Source organism: Homo sapiens, chromosome X (genome assembly GCF_000001405.40).
Source record: "Homo sapiens chromosome X, GRCh38.p14 Primary Assembly".
Classification (NCBI taxonomy): domain Eukaryota; kingdom Metazoa; phylum Chordata; class Mammalia; order Primates; family Hominidae; genus Homo; species Homo sapiens.
The window spans coordinates 90,469,344-90,493,502 of NC_000023.11; positions in this window are offsets into that span (position 1 = coordinate 90,469,344).

The window sequence follows — 24,159 nt, forward strand, 5'->3', positions numbered from 1 at the left end:
TATTTATTAAGTCAACAGCTTTATTATACTTGAAGTATTATTGTTTTGTACATCAAAATTATGTTTTTGTCAGTTCTAAGTAGGATTAATTTCATAAAGTGATTTAAATACTAAACCTCAGTGGGATTTATATATTATTCAAATAGAACTGACTTTAATTCTCGTGACTCTTTATATCTTTTAATATGTGTATTTTATTAGTTAAAAATCCATTACGTCATTAAGGTACAACAAAATAACAGCAGACATAAGATAGCTATTTAAAAAGTATTAAAGCTTTATAAGCTCATTGTATATTAAAGAAAGACGTATATTAAAAAAAAAAAAGCCATCTAGACTTCCCCTTCCAGCTCTAACATATAAAGAGCTTTTATGTGGTCACTCTTGACCTTAAAAACATACAAAAAAAGACAAACTGTAAGTAAACAACTTCACTTGGACCATCAGATAATTGAAGTCACAGGGAAAACTGCCATCTTGAAATCTGGAGAGATAGGGTAATACAGAGAATTACCCCTGAGAACAGCTTATTTGGAAAAAGAGTCACAGTATCCAAAATCTTTAGCAACACTTAATTTTCATGAGCTACTGGAGGATTAGTGTGGAAAAGCTTGAGAGTAAAATAAATCCTGTGATCCAGTATTACGGATGCCCACACACGTTTACAATTTCTACCTCCTGTAACCCCTTTAGGCTCTCATGGTGAAGAGCCAAGAAAAATCTGCTTGTGTTTCCAGTAGTTGAGAAAAAAAAAAGTATCCACTTTGAAATATGCCCAGAGTGTTCTCTATAACAAAGGCATAGTTCACAAGGGAAAAAACTTTATCAAAGACTTATCTAAACTGGTAGAAGGATAATTATCCATATTCAGGCCCCTCTAGCCTTCCTGTCCCACCACAGCCAAGGGGCACAAGCTCACTTAAAGACAGAGCTACAATCAAATATTAGAATGCTTTCTTTCCCCATTCCTTGCCATCACGGCAGCAGAGCTCTTGTGAATAAACAGTAAATTACAACTGAAAGAGCCACAAGACACTGACTCTATTTAAGAAGTTGTGTATGGGAAAACCTAAAAACAATAGGAGAGATAAAGACATGGACAGTAGAGAAAATTGAAGCCTTTGGAATCTACAGTTACAGCAAACATTAGAACACAGCATAACTCCTAGCCAGATTAACATTAAACATTACACTAAAAGCATAAATTATTTTTTATTATTTAGTATAACCTATCCAGCTTAAAAAAGTACAAATGACAGTAACAGGCAGGGAAATATACACTCTGAAGAGACAAAACAAACATTAAAACCAAATTTATATATGACACATACTTTGGAAGTATCAGATATGAAATTTAAAATAATCTTGATTAATATGTTAAAGAGCTATAATGGAACATGTGGACCACATGAGAGCACAGATGGAAAATATAACCTGAGAGATGGTCTCTAAGAAAGAATTAAAACAAAATATCTAATAAAACAAGACAAATAATGCCTTTGGCGGGCACATCATTACACTGACACTGCTGATAAAAGAATAAGTGAGGATAAAAATATGTCATTAGACATTCCCCAAACTGAAAAGCAAAAACAAAAGAAAATAAAAAATTTTAAAAAACACATCTGAAAATTGTGTTACAATTTCAAAATGTGTAACACAGTTATAAATAGAATATAAGAAGAGAAGATACTTTCCAAAATTAATGTCAGACACTAAACTATATAATTTAGTTAGCTTAGAGGACACCAAAAAAGGATAAATACAAAAAAATCTAGAGCTAGGCATACAGTCAAACTGCAGAAAATCAAAGGCCAAAAAAAAAAAAAATGCTTCAATGAAGAGAGAGAATAAAACATTTTAGTTATAGAGGTGTAAGCCTAAGAATTACATTGGGCTACTTACTAGAAACCCAGTAAGCAAGAAGAGAATGAAGGTTGAAATATTTAAAATATTGAAATAAAATAAAACTACCAATATAAAAGTTTATGTCATGCAAAACATTATATGTTGTGGTAAAAATGGCACTTTACCTCTGTTCACCTCCTCCCAAAAATTCGTAACTCCAGCTAATCATGAGAAAAGCATCAGTGAAATTACAATAGAGGGTCATCCTACAAAATATCTGATCAACAATTCTCAAGGCTGCCGAAAACAAACAAACATAAAATATGGCAAATTGTTACAGCCAAGAGGAGCCTAAGAAAACATGACAACTAAATGTAGTGTGGTGTTCTGGATGGAATCCTGAAAGAGGAAAAGACACTAGGTAGAAAGTAAAGAATTTTTTGTTTTTTTTTTTTGTGACGGAGTCTTGCTGTCGCCCAGGCTGGAGTGTGGTGGCGCCATCTCGGCTCACTGCAGGCTCCGCCCCCAGGGTTCACACCATTCTCCTGCCTCAGCCTCCCGAGTAGCTGGGACTACAGGCGCTTGCCACCTCGCCCGGCTAATTTTTTGTATTTTTAGTAGAGAGAGACGGGGTTTCACCGTGTTAGCCAGGATGGTCTGGATCTCCTGACCTCGTGATCCGCCCGCCTCGGCCTCCCAAAGTGCTGGGATTACAGGCGTGAGCCACTGCGCCTGGCCAGAAAGTAAAGAATTCTGTTTCTCATCTGGATGACAATGTTTGAAGCTTTGTGGATCCATTCCATGGTGAAGCAAGAATATCTTATGAAAATGATAACATAATATTTTAAAGTCTCTGAAAATTACCCTAAGGTATATAGAAAAGTGATGAAAGATTTGTTCAAAATAATCAACCATAATTCTAAGAACTGTAAATCATGTGTCATTTGAGCCATAACCAACTTTCTGTCATGACCTCAGCTCAGTTTGATGTAACCACCCCTCTGAGCAGGTATTGCTAAAAAGATGGGTCAAACTTCCTACCAAGTGTTGCCATTTCTGACCGAGTGGGGCAAAATGACAGTATTTATTATATTTAACTACAAGTTAAAGAGGTTAAATTCCAATTTATTTTATTTTATTTATTTATTTTTTTGGTGACCAAGAGGAAAAGGGCTCACTTCCTCCACCCAACCCATACCCACAGGACAAGCACTGTTTCTCAGGCACATCAGACTGATATTTGGACCCACAGTGCTCTAGACCCAAGTGTCTGGTTTGGGAAAGCTACCATGCTGTGAGAGGCAACCTAAAAGGACAAGGGACTACTCTCTTGCATAATTTCCAGAGAGTTTTCCCAGGACGAGAAGCAGTTGAATAACAAAAGAGAGGTTCAGACCTCTCCACAAAGTAACTGAATTTATATAAAACAGTGTGGAGAAGTTCAAATATAAGTATTCCCCAAAATAATAACTCCTCTTAATTATGCAACACAAGCTTAACCATAGCCAATACGTTCACCCGGGAGAAACAAAGTGAACTAGTTCATCAGATAGAAAGAGATAGCTAAGAAGAGCCCTTGTTGGAAAGAATGTGTCAAAGTTTGGCCTCAAACACTACCCCTGTCCAAATTTAAGTACAGCAGACTATGGAGCAATTTGTGCCATGACATTGTGAAAAATAATAGAGCAATAAGCCAGTAAATAGTAGAAACTAAAGGACAGAATATGAATATCAAATGTAGCAGATGCTTAACAGAGAGATTGAGACAGTAAAAAAGGGCCCTAAAAAAACACTGTCATTCTCAAATGACTGCACATCCATTTCCAAGTCTATATTCTCTGGGGAGTCACACCATAATTTTCACACGGTGAAGGAAATACACTTCACTAAAATAGCCTGTACAAGTCACAAAACAAACAGGCACCAGAGAGTGGGGAGAAAAATCAGTATCTAAAGTTGTTATAATGTATTCTGTAAAATTTTCAGTTTTCTACCAAAAATTAAGGGTCACATGAAAAAACATAAATATGTGACCAATATATACACAAAAATGCAGGCAAGAAAAACTGCCTGTGATAATGACCAGTGAGAAGTCATGTCTAACAAAGAACAAATTCAATGTAGCCATTATAATATGTCTAAAGAACTAAAGGAGATAATATTAAAGATGTATAGAGAAATATAAGGCTTTCAAAAGATAGGAAATATGTTTTTAAATGAACCTTCAGGAGTTAAAAATAACCAAAATGAAAAAAATGTATTGCAGGAGTTTAACAACAGATTTGAAATTGCAGAAACAAAATCAGATTACTTGAAGACAGATTAATATGGACTATGCAATCTGAAAAACAGAGAGTAAATAGAATACAGACAAATGAATAGAACCCCAGAGAATTGCAAGATACCTTTTAGCACACTAACATACACATACTAGAAATGTCAAAAGGAGAAGAGAAACAGAAAGATTAAAAAATATTCAACAGTGTATGGCTGAAAACTTTTAACATTTGCTGAAAAACATTAATCTACATATCCAAGAAGCTCAACAAAGTCCAAGTGGTATAAATGGAAAGAGATTCACACCAAGACACATTGAAATAAAAATAATGAAAAGCCACAGACAGAAAGTTATGAATGCTGCAAGAAAAAAAATTTAAAAATGACTCCCCATATCTTAGAGAAACCCAATTAAGTTAGCAGCTTTCTTTCCCTCGGGGAATGGTGATGAGTTATCAGTGGAATGACATTTTTACAGTACTAGGAAAGAAAATGCTGAGCAAGAATCTTGCATCCAGTAAAATTATCTTTGAAAATGAAAGAGGAATAAAAATACTCACAGACAAAATCTGAGAGGATTCATTGCTAGTACATTTACTTTATAAGAAATACTAAATGAAGTTCTTTAGGGTGAAAGTGAAACAATGGAAGGTCACTGGTCTTGTTGTCTAAGTTGTAATCTGAGCTCGTGGTCTCACAACCAGAAAATTAAGAACGTGGACCCAAAGGGTGAGGTTGGAGCAAAAGTTTAACGAGCGAAAGAAGAAAGCTCTCTGCAGCAGAGAGGGGTCCCAGACAGGTTGCTGTTTTACAGTTGAATCCAAAAGCTTTTATAAGAACCCCCTATCAGCTCTGTAGCCATTTGAGTAACTTCTCCTATCTATCAAATCTTCTTCACAACTCCCCCTTATCTATGTAGTTTTCGGTATGTCTCTAGACAAGCACAATGCACTACTTCTCTTGTTCGTGTAATTGTGGATTTGTTTTAGGTAAGCCCCCCTTCTCCCTGTGCAAGTTCCTACAAAGCACACCACGTATATGCATGAAAAGGGAAGCAAATATATATTTTTTTCTGGGAGCTCGCTAATCACACAAAGAACATAAGGGTTCTGTGCTGCTTATCTGTGCAGGTGCAGCCTGAGTTTTCCCCAAGCTGCTCTATTTTTGCCTCTAGCTTCGATTTTTCAGGCAGCCTGCTTCTCTGAGACCAGCCTTAACTGTTCACCTAACTGACCTTTTCTTCTCCCTCAAAAGAAAATAAGCATGGACATAAAAAATTATCAGCATTGTTAAAGGTAATTTTGTAATTACAAAAGACAATATATACATAGATTGTTTACTTCTATTCACTGGTTTAATTAGCAATTGCATAAAACAATATGTATATAATTATATATTTCGGCCTGTTAAATATAGAAATAGAATGTATTTGACAATGAGACCAGTAACCAATAGCATACAGATGGCAGGAGGAAGCAAAATTGTATTGGATTAAGAAAGTTAAACTACGTGCTACTTGAAACCTTATGCACAAATGAAATAAAAATTAATAATAAACAAAAAATTAATATTACAATGTCTGTAATTATACAATTACTTTGTTTTCTCAGCTTCTTTAATAAATATAAAATTATGTAAATAATGATTATAATAATGAATTTTTGTGTTTGTAAGTTATATGGATATAATGTGTGTAACAATAATAGCAAATAAAAGGGAATTAGATAGAGCTATATTATAGTAATATTTCTATATATCCATGGAATTAAGTTAGTTTAAATCTGAGGCAGGTTATGATAAATTAAGATGCATATAGTACACCCTAGAGCAACCATAAAGATAATGAAATAGAATTTAAAAAATTAAAAAAATTAAAGTAATTAACATGTTACATTAAAAAATATTTACTTTATACAAAATAAATAAATATGAAATACAGAAACAAAAAAAGACATGAAACATATACAATACAAAAAGTAGAATGAAAGATGTAAATTTGACTATAACAATAAGAAGAGTAAATGTGAATGGAGGAAACAATCCTGTCAAGTTGCATGGATTGTCAGACTAAATCTAAAAACAAGATACAACTATATACAATCTACAGGAGAAACATTTTAGATTCAGACATACAAACAGGTGAAAGTAAAAGAGAAACGAATGGTATATTATGCAAAGAGTAACCTTAAGAAAGTTGGAGTGAATATTACAATGTCAGATAAAAAAGTAAAACAGAAAGTGTGACATGTTATAATGATAAAAGGGTCAGTCCATTTGGAAGTTATAACAATAATCAACATTTAAGCACCCGACAACAGAATCCCAAAATACATGAAACAAAAGCTGATAGAATTGGGGGGAAATCAAGGCAATTTAATTATAATAGTTGGAGAATTTACTATCACCACTCTCAGTCATGGGAAGAAAAACTAGTCAGAAGATTAAAAATGAAATAGAAGTCTTGAATCATATACACAAACTAGACCTAACAGATTTCTGCAAAGAATTGTTTATAGACTCCAACAACAGCAGAATACAAATTCCTGGGGCATCAGAATATACATTTTTCCTAAGTGCAAATGGAGCATTCACTATAATAGAACACGTATCATCAAAACTTAAAAATATGGAAGAATTAAAACCATAAAAAGTATCATCTCTGGCTGGGTATGGTGGCTCACACCTGTAATCCCAGCACTTTGGGAGGCTGAGGCAGGTGGATCATGAGTTCAGGGGTTTGAGATCAGCCTGGCCAACATGGTGAAACCCTGTCTCTACTAAAAATACAAACATTTGCCAGATGTGGTGGCACGCACCGGTAGTCCCAGCTACTCAGGAGGCTGAGTCAGGAGAATCGCTTGAACCCAGGAGGCAGAGGTTGCAGTGAGCCTAGACTGTGCTATTGCACTCCAGCCTGGGTGACAGAGCAAGACTCCATCTCAGAAAAAAAAAAAAAAAATCTCTGGTCACAATGAAAAGAAGTTGCACATAAATAAGAGAAAAGAAATGGAAAATTATAATTAAGTAAAAGTATAAAACACATTACTAAATAATCAATGGCTCAAAAAAGAAATTATAAGGGAAATAAAAAATCTAGGATTTGATAGCACAACAAGATGACTACAGTCAAAAATAATTTATTGTACTTTTAAAATAACTAAAATAGTATAATTGGATTGTTTGTAACTCAAAGAAAGAAAAAATGCTTCAGGTGATGGATACCTCATTTACTTTGATGTGATTATTACACATTATATGTCTGTTTCAAAATATCTCATGTACCTCATAAATATATATATCCACTATGTACCCAAAGGATTAAAAATTTAAAAAAGTTAAAAAATACTTTGAGATAAATAAAAATAAAATACATACAAAAATGTATGGATGCAGCTACAGCAGTACATAGAGGAAAATTTATAACTGCAAAATACCTGTCTAAAAAGGAATAAAATTTTCAAATAAATGATTTAGCCATTCACTCTAAAACACTAGAAAAATAAGAGAAAAGTAAAACCAAAGTAAGCAAAAGAAAGGAAACAATAAGGAATAAAGTACAAATGAGTAAAATAGAAAATAAAAAAATAGGGAAATATTAATAAAACAAAAAGTTTATTCTTCTAAATGATCACTTGAACCAAAAAAATCTTCAGGTCAATTGACCAAGAACAAAAGAGAGTAGACTCAATTTACTAAAATAAGAAATGGGCCACAGGTGGTGGCTTATGCCTATAATCCCAGAAATTTGGTAGGCCAAGGTGGGAAGATTGCTTGAGGCCAGGAGTTTGTGGCCAGCCTGGGCAAGAGAGTGAGACCCCTTCTTCACAATAAATAAATAAATGAATAAATAAGTATTTAAAAATAAAATAGGAAATATGAAGTATTAATATTACTACTAGCCTTATATAAATAAAAGGAATTATAGAGTTACTATGAATAACTGTATGACAACAAACCAAATAATTTGATCAAATGAACACAATTTTAGAAAGATCCAAACTAGTAAACTCAAGACCTAAACAGAATATCAGAATATTCCAATCCATAGTACAAAGTTTGAATTAGTAACAAAAAAAACCTTATATATAAAAAAGTCCAGCCACACTTGTATTCGCTATTGAATTATACCAAAGATTTAAAGAAGTAATATTAATTCTTCACAATGTCTTTCAAACAAATAGAATAGTAGAGACTCTTTGCAACTGTTTTTATGAGGCCATTATTAACCTATTACCAAACCAGACAAAGACATCATAAATAAATAAAACTACATACTCATATTGCTTATAAAACCAGATGTAGGTATCATAAATAAATAAAACTACATACTCATATTGCTTATAAAACCAGATGTAGATATCCTCAACAAAATACTGGCAAATTGAGTTCATCAACATTTATAAAAGATGATACACCATTATCAAGTAGGATTTATCCCAGGAATAGATGGTTGACTTAATATCTCACAATTAATTTACACAATGTACCATATTAATACAATAAAAGAAAGCAAACACAAAATCACCTCAATAAAAACAGAAAAATCATTTAACAATATTTAACATCCGTTTGTAATAAAACCCCCAATAGCTAGGAAGAGAAAGAAACTTCCTGAACCCGATAAAAGATATATGAAAGGTTCACAGCTAGAATTATACTTAATGGTGAAAAACTAAATGATTTCCCCATAAGATCAAGAAAAGGTAAGAATAACAATATATTCTTTCATCACTTCTATTCATTATTGTACTGGAGGCTTAATCCATGACAATTGGGCAAGAAAATAAAATTTAAAATATCCAGTTTGAAGGAATGAGCTAGGAGAGTAAAAATAATGCAGCAGGAATTGCATCATGGGAATTTGTGCCATTTCCTCATGCAACTTGTTGGTGCCTTCAGGAAATTCATGAGCCCAATGTCCTATATGGTATTTCCATTTAAGGGAGTGCTGCTGTGCATGCCCAAATGTATGGCTTTGTGGATCAGACACTCAGGTAATAATGGGCAGCTTAGATCTCAGGATAATTTGGGGGCTCATATTTGAGCTTTAATCTGTACTTAAGCCTTGCAGCAAGCTGAAATCTTGTTCTTAAAAAGGGAAGAGTTATTGGCAGAGAAGGGCAAGACTTTGCTTCAAAATCCTAAAGGACTTCACTGTAATTCACCTATAGGGATCTGCCAAAGCCTCCAAACAGCATCTTTCTCTGCCTCTGATAATTAAAGCATAATTGAATATTTCAGATGGATCGTATGGCCTAAGTGACAAAACAGCTTGCACATCAACTGTTGCAGAGCTTTCTCTTGTTCTGGTCCCACTCAAAACTAGCAGCTTTTGAGTAGTACACCCAAATTAGAAATATGTTTTCTCTAAAATCAAAAGAGTCCCATTAGACATTATTACTCATTTTGGGTTTTAGGAGCGATTGAAGAAAACAATGTATTCTCCACCTTAGAAGGGATATCTCAACATGGCTCACACCATTGAACTCCTAAAAGTTTCTCCGACCTGAGATGTCATTGGATTTTTGTTGGATGTATTTTCCACTATCTACCACTCAAACGTTTAATGACAACTTTAGAGTGGCTACTAGGTCTTGTTTACTAGGTCCAATCAGCATGATGTCATCAATGTAATGGATCATTGTGATAGCTTATGAAAAGGTGATGTAAATCAAGGTCTGTTTTGACTAAATGATAGGGGTGCAGAGTTTCTATGCTCCTGAGGCAGAATAATAAAGGTTGCTTCACCAACTCAAACTGCTTTTGTAAGTCTTTTTTAATAGATATTGAGAAAAACTCATTTACCATATCAATATTCACATACCAGCTAGAAGAAATATGTTCATTTTCTCAAGCAATTAAACCACATCTGGAACAGTAAAGAGTTGAGTCACTATCTGGTTATGTTTATTATAATCTGCTTTCATTCTTCATGATCCATTTACTTTCTATCCAGGACAAATAGGAGAGTTGAATGAAGATATCATAAGAATCACCATGCCTGAATCTTTTAAGTCCTTGATGATGGGATTAATCTCTGCATTTACTTCAGGAATGCAGTACTGCTTCATGTTCACTATTGTCCTACATACAGACAGTTTTAATGACTTCTATTTGACATTTTCTTCCATAGTAGCCCTTACTCCACAGGTCAGAAAATCAATGTGGGCATTCTGTTAGGTACTAAGGATGTCTATTCCTATTGTTCATTTTGAGAAATAAACCATAGAATGGGTTTGGGCACCCACTATACCCACTGTGAGATGGACCTGGGCTAAAACCTCATTACTCACCTGACTCCACAAGCCCTTACTCTGACTGGTGGAGCACAGTGACAATTTGCATCTTGTGGAATTAGTGTGACTGTAGAGCCAGTGTCCAGTAGTCACCAAAAAGTCTGTTTACTTATTTTTTCCAATACACAATCACCCTAGTAAGAGGGTTATTTGGTTGGTCAGCTGAAACATAGACCAATAAGTTGGTAAATTACTAGAGCCCTTTCTAAGCCCTTGGGCTACAACATTGAGTATAGAATCTCTATTATGGGCTAATATTAATAAATTCAACCTGAACCAATTTTATATTCCTGCTGCAATTTTATAAATTTAATTGAATTTATAATTTATAAATTTATATTAATATGTAAAATTATATATAATTTAAAATTAATATAATTTAACCATTTATATAATACATAGATGTATCACTTAGTTTATAATTTAAAAATTATAATTTTGCAGATTTAATTTACAATATTATATTTCTACACCTTTAATATCTATTTCTATACAATTTCTTGAAATTTCTGTGTATTCATTGAAAAAAATCTTGCAGTTGTTTTGAAGTGTAGTGCTTCTCCTAGTGCTCCACACTTTGGACCTCACTCTTTAGGACCTGTTAGAACTTGAACATACTTCTAATTCCAGAAGAGACAAATAAAGGTGCTGTGTGTAGGTTTTGAATAAGTAAATATATATTTATTTATTTACTTGAAGTAATTATCCCACATGATTGTGGTGGCTCACAAGGGTAAAATCCACAGGGCAGGCCAACAGGTTGGAAACTCTTGGATTTTTTAGTCTTGAGGTACAACTTATTCTTCAGAGAAATCTCAGTTTTGCTTATAAGGTATTTCCACTGATTGGCTATCTACCCACATTATAGAGAAGAATATCCTTTACTTAAATTCAGGTGGTTGTGGATGATAACCATGTCTATAAAATTCATTCATAGCAATCCCCGGATTAGCATTTGATTGAAAAGCCTAGTTAAGTTGATATGTAAGACAAACCGTAAAAGCATACAAAAACTTTTACTCAAATGTTCAATGAAGCATTAATAATAGCCAAAAATTATAAACAACTTATTATCCACTAATGAATTAAGGTGTAAATAAAATGTGGTATATTCATACAATGGAAAATTATTCAAGCATAAAAATGAATGGACTGCTGATACATATTACAATAAGGATAAACCTTGACAACACTATACTAATTGAAAGAAAACAGTTGCAAAGGATCACCTATTGTATGGTAATATTTATATGTAATGTTCATAATAGCCAAACCTATGGAGACAGAAAGTAGATTAGTGATTGCTTAGGACTGGGGAGGATGGGAGAATTAATGAGTGTGGCTAAGAGGTAAGGGGTCTTTTTTGTGGGTAATAAAATGTTCATATTTTACAATTGTGGTGTTGTATACACAACACACTAAAAGCTATTGAATTTGACACTTTCAATAGGTAACTTTTATGGTAAATAAACATATCTCAATAAAGTTGTTAATAATGAAAGAACAGTGTGACACAGCTAACAAATATAAACTATTAAATTTAGTTAATAATAATGTATCAAAATTGGTTCATCTCTTGTAGAATATTCACAATACTAAAGGTGTTAATAATGGAAAGGACTCTGTAAAGTTAAGCAAGAATTCTTTGTACCATCTCAAATTTTCTGCAAATCTAAAGCTGTTCTAAAAATAAGGTAGATTAAAATAAATGCAACATTCAAATATAAATATAACTATGGATGACATGAGATACTGACAGACTAATTCATTGATTTTTTTTAAGATTGGAAAATAGTCTTATGGTTTAACTTTCACTTAAGAATTTCCCATGATAATTTAAAAAAAAAGCTTTTGGTTTTACCTAAGTTTCATTTAATGTCTGTCTCTTTTTTGTTGTTGGAATAGGTAGGGATATGTAAGTAAGAATTGACAGGGTAGAGAGCCAACAAGTAGGACTTTTCATTTATTTAAGGTTAAGAATCTCTGCAGATTTCTCAAGGTTGGAATCAGGTAATACTGGAGTCCTCCTAAAGTGAGCAAGTTAGATGAACAATAGGACAGGGAAGGTTTTAATCATGTTGAGCATCTGGGAGTCAGCAACAATGGAATAGCAGCTAGGAGGGCAAATCTAGCTCTCAGAGTCATTCCCATCAAGGGGCATCAAAATGTAAATAAATAAATAGCATAGATATGCCCTAATATACAGTAGTGGTTCAACCATATGGAAGATAATTTCAACATGGAGGTTTTAAATGGATCCCAAAGCAATGCAAATTCCAAGGCATATGATCAAGAAATTGAAAATTTTTTGAAAGAAAGAGCAAAGAAAGAAGATTTGGTTTCCAAGCTTATTCATAGGAAAAAAATCTAGGCATGAATTTTCTGCTTAAGTTTCAAGAGTGTTATAGAATTTATGTATACCAAGATTGAATTCCAACATAGTAAAGATAGTATCTGAAGAACAGCCCTAGAAGTTAGTCAAAGCCAAAATTTAATATCCAGTAAAGAAACAGAAGTTTGTGAAAAGTGAATACTAGCAATTGCTAAGATAACTCATTCATTTTTAGAACTTCGCCTTTAACTTCTTTGTAATCAATTCCCAAATCTAATTATACTTTAAACCACTCACTTGATGTTATATCTAACTGCTTATTGGGCATTTTTCTTTGACTGTTAAATGCTTTATCTATGTCTCTTGAGATAATTATATGGCTTCCCTTATTTAGTTCCTTATTGGTGAAATAAACTGAGTGCTTTTCAAATATTAAACCTTCACTAATATTATATTACTTCATGCATAGTACAAACAATTTATAAGTGTACTTCAATTTTTCCCCTCCTGACCCTACAATATATTGCTCCTATGTCTTCTTGCTTGTATTTTCTTTCTTGACCACAAATCTGTTGCTATCCCTATCTTTGTCCCTTTGTATGTAATGTGTTATTTTTTTGTTGTTGTTATGGCTGCCTTTAATCTTTTTAATTTATCGCTCTATTTTAGCAATTTGATTATGATGTAGCCTTCTGGCATTCATGAATCATGTGGTAGGAAAACTTTCAGGATGGTCCCCAATGATCCTGCCTCCTGGTGTTCATGTCTTTGTATAGTATTGACAATGAACTGAAGCTAGTAACTCATGTGTGAGAAATTGAATATGGCAACACTAATGGGATGTCAATTTTGAGATGAGGTTTCAAGAATACTGTGGTTTTTGCCTTTAGCACTTTTCTCTCTTATCATCTCACTCATTTACTCATTTGCTCTGAATGAAGTCAACTGCCATTGAAATGGGAGAGTTCCCGGTCCCCCCTCGCAGGATGTGTGACAGGGGTGTGGCTTGTCTCTTTGGCTGCCATGCACTCAAACCCCTTACATTAGTGGAAACACATGGATGGGCAAGTACAAAAACTGGGGCAAGCACTTTCGGGCTCAAGCCCCATGGTAGTGTCTAGGGATGGATGCCTGCCACTCTCAAAGCCCCAGTAGGCATGTTGCAGTACTCTTTTAGCTCTGCCTTCCACAGATGGCTTAAGTGTTCACCAGTTCAGTGCCCTCTTGGTACCCAGGTTCTTGTCCAGTGTCCAGGAAAAATCAGGTCACATGGACAAATTGAAGGATGGCAAATGCAGGGTATTTTATTGACAGATGGAGGTGGCTCTCAGCAGGATGGATAGGTAGCTGGAAAGGGGATGGAGTGAGATGATTTTCCCCTGAAGTTTGACCATCCCACAGCTGATCTCTCCAACTATCTCCAGCCGAACTTCTCTGGATGTTCAGATGTTCCTTCTCTTCTCTCTTTCTCTGCCATGCCATTCTGCCACTCTTCTGCTCATCTGCTCTTCTGCTCGTGGAACCTGGGGTTTGGGGTTTATATAGGTACAAGACAGGGGGGCATAGCAGGCCAAAAGGCAACATATGGGTGCAAAAATAGGAATGCCTGTTTCCATGTAGGGCCACGGCTTTCCAGGCTTGAGGGTGGGGCCTTTGCTGGGGAACTGCCCTCTTCTACCCAGTATTTTCCTGCTTCCTGTCCATATCACCAGGTTGTGGCCCTATGAAAAAACACATGGAGCTGATGTTTTAAGCCAGCAAGCAGCAGTGACCTGAGGCCTGCCAATAGCCATGTGAGTGAGCTTGTGAGAGGAACCATTCTCATTCAAACTTTGATATTACTGAATTCCCTGATGACACTTTCATTGCAACCTTATGAGAAACCCTGAGTCAGAGTCATCAAACTAAGCTACACCTGAAATTCTAATTCACAGAAACTGAGATAGTAAATGTTTTTTAATTTGCTATGCTTAGGAGTAATTTGTTATGCAGCAACACATAATTAAGTTACCTTGGCATAATGTAATAACTTCATGTTTCTTTTGCTTGATGTTAACTCCCTGAATTGGTAGTTTTAGAATTTTCTTTCAATTTGGAAAGTTTTCAGCCATTATATTTCAAATATTTTTTTCCTCTAATCCTTTTCTGCTCTTCTCTGAGAATTCCAATTACACATATATTAAGACACTTGAAATTACAGTACAGTTCACTGGTTCTCTGCTTTTTTTTTTTTAATCTCTGTTATATGCTGGAAAGTTTCTACTGCTATATCTTTAAGTTCATGGATCTCTTATACTGCAATGACTGATTTTCTGTTGTAGTAAATTCAGGCTGCTATAAAAAATACCATATACTAGGTGGCTTGTGAAGAAACAGAAATTTATTTCTCCCAGTTCTGAAGGCTGAGAATCTGAGATCAGAGCACCAGCATGGTCAGGTTCTGGTGAGGTTCCTCTTTTGGGTTGCAGGGAGCCACTTTCTTATAATATCCTCACATGATAGAGAGAGAGTGAGCTATCCCTTTGGCCTCTTGTTTTTAAGAACACTACTCCCATTTCTGAGGGCTCCATCCTCATGACCTAATTGCCTTCCAAAGTCTCCACCTTCAAATACCATCATACCGGGGATTAGATTTTAACATACGAATGTGAGTGGGGACACAAACATTCAGTCCTTAACAGCTGCTCATTCTATTAGGTATATATATATATATACGTATATATATATATATGTATATTATATATATATATGTATATATATATGTATATATATATGTATATTATATATATATACACACACACACATATATATACTGAATATATAATATGTATATATACATGCGTATATATTTTTATATATATTTTATATATATATGTATATATACATATATACATATATATATAAAATTTATTTTTTGAGACGGAGTCTCACTCAGTCACCCAGAGTGGAGTGCAGTGGCACGATATCGGCTCACTGCAACCTCCGCCTCCCGGGTTTAAACAATTCTCTGCCTCAGCCTCCTGAGTAGCTGAAATTACAGGCGCCCGCCACTACACTTGGCTAATTTTTGTATTTTGGGTAGAGACATTGCATTTCTTAATCTCAAAGGTTTGATTGGGGTCTTTTAAACATCTTCCATGTCTGTATAAAATAATTATAATTATTTTCTCTAATCTCATAATTCTAAAATCTGTGTCAAATCTGGGTCAGTTTCAATTGATTAATTTATCTCTTTAGAATGGGTTAAACTTTTTTGAGTCTTTGCATGCTTAAGAAATTTTTATTGGTTGATGTATACATTGTGAATTTTACATTATTCAGTGCTAAATATTTGTGAATTCTTAGAAGCATTTTTGAGCTTCATTCTAGAACACAGTCAACTTACTTGTAAGAGTTTGATCCTCTTGAGTCTTGTTTTTAAGGCATTTTAGGCAGGCTCAGAATAATGCTTAGCTTAAGGTTATTTCCCATGAATCATAAAAGATACGAATGAGTACTCATTCCAATTTTCCATGAATCAAAGACTTTTTTGTCTGTCTTGTGGAAACAGAAACTATTTTTGGTTCTGTGTGACCGCTGAGTACTAACCCCTCTGTTCATTTTTGGCAATTCTTTTTCCACCCTAAGGTGGTTGCCTTTATGAATGCCAGTTTTCAGCTGACTATTCAAGATGGACTCTTTGCAGATCCGTAGATTTTTTTTTCTTTTCAGTTTTCTCCTCTCCAGCACTCTGTCTGAAAAAAATTGAGATGCCTTAACCTTTGTGGATTCTATCTTCAACTCAGAAAGTCTGCTTTGCTCTTTCTGGGGTCTGGAAACCTTTGCAAAGCAGTAGCTGGTGCAATCAGAGTCTCATTTGTTTATTTATTCTATCTCAAAGATCACTGTCCTCTGTTGTCTGATGTACAGTGTTTTGTAAAACTGTTGTTTTATATATTTGTCAGTTTTTTGGCTGCTTCATGTATGAGGGTAATTCTGGTTTCTGTACCTCCATCTTGGTCAGAAGTGTAAATTAACACATGCCTAATTTTATTATATACATTTTTTATAATCTTACTTTCTTATTCAGGTTTATTGTTGACTAATTTGTGAGAGACTCTCTACAACATCTTTTATAGTCAGAATTCTTTTAATATTGTATATATGACTAAGTAGCTGATCATTAAAGTCCTTTGACAGGCACTCATTTAAGTTTCTTATATTTATTCCTTAGTAAACATCTATTGTGCGTCTACTGGGTGTAGGTGCTATAGAGATTATAGAAACACATTAAATTTACATCCTCTTTCAAAAAGCTTATATTCTCATAATCATTAAACAAAACACACTAGATATAAATAAGGCTTATTAGAGAGATATAAGAAATATGCAGAGTTACAAAAATTCAGAGCTACTTGTTTCTGTGCAAAACCTAAGGGGACTTTCTGCATCCCACAACATTATCATTTAAGATATGCATTTATTAACATATTTGAACAAAATTACTTCTACAAAAATGATAATTGCTTGTTGGTTTTTGTATAAAAAATGAATGTGCTTATTTCACATTTCATACCTATATCAAAACATCTCATGTACCCCATAAATATATACACCTACTATGTACCCAAAAATATTTTTAAAATTTTTTAAAAAGAAATGGGCCAAACTGTTAGTAATTACTCTATTCTTTTGGTGAATTAGGGTTCTTCAGAGAAACAAAACAGATAGGATATAGACAGATAGAGAGATAGACAGATAGATAGACAGACAGAGATAGATGAGAGAAGGTTTACCATGGGAATTGACTCACCTGTTTATGGAAGCTGAGAATACCCACTATATACCACCTGCAAGCTCAAGAACCAGCAAAGCTGTTAGCTAAGTCCAAGTTCAAAGGACTGAGAATTTGGGTGGCTGCTGGTGCAAAGTTTAGATGAGAAGATGGGTGACCCAGCTCCAGAAAAGATAGCAAATTCACATTTCTTCTGCCTTTTTGAAAATCTGAGCCCTGAATAGATTTGGTGCCTGCCCATATTGGATGAGTGCAGATTTTTCTTACCCAGTTTACTGACTATGATGTGAATCTTTCCCCATAACACCTTCACAGACATACCCAAAAATAATGCTTTACCAGTTATCTGTATTTCTCTTAACCAAGTCAGGTTGACACCTAATATTAACTACCACACATCCACTCCTCATCAACGTGGCACCCGTACACATCTCCTTAAACCATAATTAATCTCCAAATAAAGACAATAACAATCCCATAGTTGTACCCAACATTACACAACTACCCTGCTTACAATCATACATGTACAAATATCTTCCCCAGAAGAGAAGATAAAGTCCTTGAGTGATGTTTACTCTTCTGATATCCCTTAACTTAAATATTATAATTTAAAATTAATACTACTTTAATACTGATATAAAGTCAATAAATCTTAAGTTTCATGATAAAGGAATAATGGAGAAAAAACAAAGATACTTGATTAATAGATGTACATATATATATATATACACATACTCACATAACATAATGGCATTCTTATCAAAAAGCAGGACATACTCATGACAATTACAGTCTTCAGTACTGTAACCATTCATATGGTCATAGCTGGTATTTGTAACTATTTTTTTCTACTACACATTCTGTATTCCCTTTGCCTCCAGGAAGCACCTCAGCAAGTGGTAGTTTTTTTAACCTAGTAGGGCGATCTAAACCTTCCTTTCATAAGGGTCTGAGCTATTTATAGTCCTGCCTGGATTATGTTTTTGCAGTTTCCTATTGACGTTAATCACAGGGCATGGTAGCACGTAGAGACACCCTAAAGAATCTACTGTATTCCAGGAATACTCTTTCTTATCTCCATTGTGGAGAAATAGTTCAATTTCCTTTTGATAGTCTGAATCACTTACCCCAGCCAACACCATACCTCACTTGACTTACAGACTGAAAGGCATGAGGAGCTGGAAATAACTTGGTAATACTCTTAACTTCCAGTTCAATGGAATCACTATTGTGCCTCCCAGTGAAAGCATTTCTTCTTCTGGAACTAAGATCCCTAAGCCGGCAGAGCATAAAGTTGTGAAAACAGAAAGCAAAAATTTTGTAGTTGGTCACTAGGAGTAATTGTGAGTTGTGTCATGCCCATTTCTACATCTTGATTCCTAGACCAGTGAATTCTGGTAATGGGAAAAACAGTATTATATATTGGACACTGATTTATGGCATATATCCCCTTCTGGAGAACTTTGCCCTAGGTCTCCTAGATATTACCACCTAGTCAGCATTGTTACTGAATATTGAATTGTTATAATAAATATTATTAATAATTAATAATTTCAAAAATTATCCCATTGTTCTATCAAGCCATCTGCTTTGGTAAGGTGAAGAACATTGTAATACTAGTAAAGTTCATGAGCATAAACCCATTGCCACACTTTTTTGACTGTGAAGTTAATTCCTTGTTCAAAAACAATACTGTGTGGAATGCCATAACTATAGATAAAGCATTCTATAAGTTCAGGGATGGTAGTTTTGGCAGAAACATTGAGTACAGAATAGGCAAATTTATATTCAGAATAAGTGTCTATTCCAGTGTCCTATTTCATTTACATTTATCTAAAGAAATACCTGAGGCTGGGCAATGCATAAAGAAAAGAGGTTTATTTGGCTCACTCTTCTGCAAGCTGTATAGGATGCATGGCATGAACATGTGCTTCTGGTTAGAACTTCAGAAAGCTTCCACTTATGATGAAAGGGAAAAAGAAATTGATGTGATTGATGTGTGCAGATCACATGGTGAGAAAGAAGCAAGAGAGAGAGGGGATAGAGGTGCCGGATTTTTTTTAACGATCATATCTCACAGGAACTAATAGAGTGAGAAGTCACTCATTACTTCAATAATGGCACCAAGTCTTTCATGAAGAATCCACTCACATGACCAAAACACCTCACACCAGGCCCTACCTTCAACATTGTGGATCAAATTTCAACATGATATTTTGAGGGGACAAATATCTAAACTGTATCATTCAGTAAATGCAAAATGCTGGCCCTTCCATGATGGCAGTGGTCCAATGTAATCAACCTACCACCAGGTAGCTGGCTGATCACCCTGGAGAATGGTGCTGTACTTGGGGCTCATAATTGGCCTCTGCTGTGACAGATTGGTTACTCAGCAATAGTCACAGCCAATTTGTCCATGGTGAATGCAAGTCCATGTTGCTGAGCCCATGCAGAAACTCCATCTCTGCCACCAAGGCTACTTTGTTTATGAGCTCATTGGGTGATAACAGAGATGACTGGGAACAAGGCTTGCTGGTATCAACAATATGGGTCATATTTGATTATTAAACAATCAACTTGATATTAAAATTTTTCTCTGCTGAGGTCATGCTTTGTTAAGCATTCATATGAAACATAAACATATTTGTGTCCTTTGTCCATTCAGAGAGGTCTACCCACATACCTCTTCCCCAAATACCTTTGTAACCAGTTTCTCAATCAAGTTCTTTCCCAGTTCCATACCATCCAGCCAAAACTTTGGCTATAGTCCATGTGTGGTTATGGAATCTCATATCTGGCCATTTTCCTTTCCAAGCAAAGTACACAATCTCGTGCACTGACTGTAGTCCTGCCCACTTACAAGGTTTTCCTCCACTACTGCCCTTCAGGAATATTCCAGAAAGGGGCTATAGTATGTTAGCTGTTAACTTGGGACTGGTGCCTGAATATTAAGCAGAAAGATCTGTGAACCAGCCCAGTTTTCTTCTTCTGTCAACTAATCATAGGGTGTATTAGTTTCTTTGTGTTGCTACACAGGAATATCTGAAGCTGGTTAACTTATAAGGAAAATAAGTTTATTTGGCTCACAGTTCTGCAGGCTATACATGAATCATAGTGCCAGCATTTGCTTTTGGTGATGGTTTCAAGAAACTTACAGTCATAATGGAAAGTGAAGGGAAGCCAGGGTGTTACATGGTGAGAGAGGAAGTAAGATAGAGGAGAAGGGGTTGCCGGGCTCTTTTAAACAACCAGATCTCATGTGAAGTCTTAGAGTGACAGCTCACTCATTACTGCGAGGACAGCACCAAGACACTCATGAGGGATTCACCTCCATGATGCAAACTCTTCCATTAGGCCTCACCTCCAACATTGGGGACCACATTTCAATATGAGATTTAGAGGAAATACACATCCAAACCATATCATAGGGTACTCCCCATAACACTATAGTTTGGAGATAAGGTTGGGAGAAAGAAGTCAGTGTACAGTGTAACAGGAGTAGGAATCACGGACATTTAAGCCACTTCTACATTTAACTTACTTGTAGCCTTTACGGACTACTCAGGCCTGATATATATGGAAGAAAAAAGGGTTAATTTAATTTTGCAACTTCATTTATGGATTTTTTTGTGAGACAAGGGAAAGAAATATAAAAGATCAGCTTATTTTGTGTGTATCCACACACTTAAAGGGAACTCATTTTCAACAAAGGTGCCAAGAATATTGGGGAAAAGTCAGTCTTCAATAGCTGATGTTGGGAAACTGGATATCCACATGCAGGAGAATGAAACTAGACCCCTATCTCTTGCCATATACAAAACGTGAATCAAAATAAATTAAAGACTTAAGTCTAAGACCTCAAACTATGAAACTACTACAAGAAAACTTTGAGAAAAATCTCTAGGACATTGGTCTGGACAAACATTTCTTGAGCAATACCCCACAACCACAGGCAACCAAAGCAAAAATGGACAGCAAATGATACAATCAACAAAATGAAGAAACAGTAAATAGAATGGGAAAAATATTTGCAAATTACTCATCTGATAAGCGATTAATAACCAGAATAGAAAAGGAGTTCAAACAATTGTATAGGTAGAAATGTAATAACCAAATCAAAAAGTGGGCAAAAGATTTGATCAAAAGAAAACATCCAAATGGCAAACAGGCATATGAAAAAGTTCTCAACATCATAGAATATCAGAGAAATGTAAAATAAAAACTACAATGAGATGTCCTATTATCCCAGTTAAAATGGCTTATAACCAAAGACAGGCAATAACAAATGCTTGTCAGGATGTGGAGAAAAGGCAACCTTTGTACACTGTGGGTGGGAACGTAAGTTAGTACAACCACTAAATAGAACAGTTTGGAAGTTTCTCAAAACACCAAAAATAGAGCTACTATATGATGTAGCAATCCCACTGTTGGGTATATATCCCAGAGAAAGGAAATCTGTCTAACAAAGAGATCTCTGCACTTCCATGTTTGTTGTAGGACTATTCACAACAGTTAAGATTTGGAAGCAACCTAAGTGTTCATCAACATATGAATGAATTAAGAAAATATGGAACATAGACACAATGGAGTAATATACAGCCATAAAAAATATGAGATCCAGTCATTTGCAATGACATGGATGGAACTGGAAGTCATTATGCTAAGTGAAACAAGCCAGGCACAGAAAGACAAACATCACGTGTTTGAACTTATTTGTGGAATCTAAAAATCAAAACAATTGAACCTATGAGCACAGAGAGTAGAAGAATGGTTACCAGAGGCTGGGAAGGGTAGTGGGGGTGATGGGGACAAGGTTGGATAGTTAATGGGTACAAAAAATAGAAAGAATGAATAAGACATACTATTTGATAGCATACCAGGGTGACTATAGTCAATAATAAATTCATTTTAAAATAGCTAAAGGAGTGTAATTGAATTTTTTATAACACAAAGGAAAAATGCTTGAGGGGATGGAAACTACATTTTTTTTAATATGTCATTATTTCATATTGCATGCCTGGATCAAAACATCCCATGTACCCCATAAATATATACACCTGCTATATACTCACTAAAATTAAAACTTAAAAAAGGATCATACCTTTTGTTATATCATCTCACAATAAAAATAAATAATGACATTTAACTGAAACGCTACATTTATTAATGTAAAAACAGCAAACTCTGCTTTAGGTTTACAGAGATCTAGAAAAAAATAATTTAATAAAAGTGTCCTAACCATAGGAGTTCAGAGCAAACTTAAGAGTTTCCACTCAAATTCTCTTAAATAAGAGAGTCCAGTGAAGAACGAATCAATCTGCTGAACCTATAGACACCACAAGCACTTACGATTTTTACTCCTCTACTCGACCTCTTATTATGTCAATCTCCACCTTGCTTTTTATATTAATTGTAACTAATTTTCTAATTCCTACTCTGTATTGGACATATTTTCCACCTTTTACATTGGTGACTTACAGACTCTTGAGGCTTCATTTCCTCCAGCTTCCTGCAATAAAGGCAAGTACCTGGTTCTTACATGCATATATAACCTATGTCTCACTTAAAGCCTCCACGTGACCTATAATCACAAATTATACGCTCTTGAAGTCTAACTTGCTTCTCTTAACACGAATCTGATTACAGAGGGTATTAAATGACAGACTAAGAAGTTTGAATTTGTATTAGGTAGACAAAAATCAACATTGAGAACATCTGAGAAAATAAATGACATACCACTATCAGTGTCTTAAGAAAATGAATCAGTGAACACTCTGCGTGGATTAAATGAGGTATTGTATTTAAAATACATTGCACAGGCCTTAACACATATTAAGCATGTAATATAAATAGGTATTACACAGGGATAGAATGAGTGAGGAGAGCCAGTTTTCAAATGCCAATGTGTGAATTAGAAAAGCTTACAGTTAAGAAATTAGTGAATATAGCCAAATCATTTTTTGTGAGATATGATAGTTTTGTTTTAGTTTAAAAAATATTTTAAACATAAAGAAAATAATATACAAAATAATAAGCACCCATATACCTATCACTCAGTTTTTCAAATGTTACTGTGTGACATTTTAAATAAGAATATAGTCAGAAAATAAAATGATAGAGAATATTACATAATCAATTGAAGCTGCAATTGATTTTACTGTCTTTCTCCAGATATAACTTCGACCCTTATTTTTTGAATTGTTATTCTGAATGATTTTGTTTTTAATGACATATATGTGTATTCTTTAGCTCTATACACACTGATTTGCAATAATTTAAACTTGTATAAGTAATAGCATGAATTCTAATTCTTCTGAAATGTAATGTTTCTGCTCAACAACTGTTGAAAATAGTGGTACTAGTGAATCTTAACTAGTGAACACACATAAATGGCACTATTTTCATTATTAAATTTTCTGACTAATAATCACGAATAATTATTGATATTTTTAAAAATTTTGTTTTTGACACAATAATTGTACATATTTATGGGGTGCAATTTGTTGTTTTGATACATGTATGCATTGTGTAAAGACTAAATCAAGGTAATTAACAAGTCCATTACCTCAAACATTTACCATTTCTTTGTGGTGAGAACATTCAGAATTATCTCTTCTTGCTATTTTGAAATG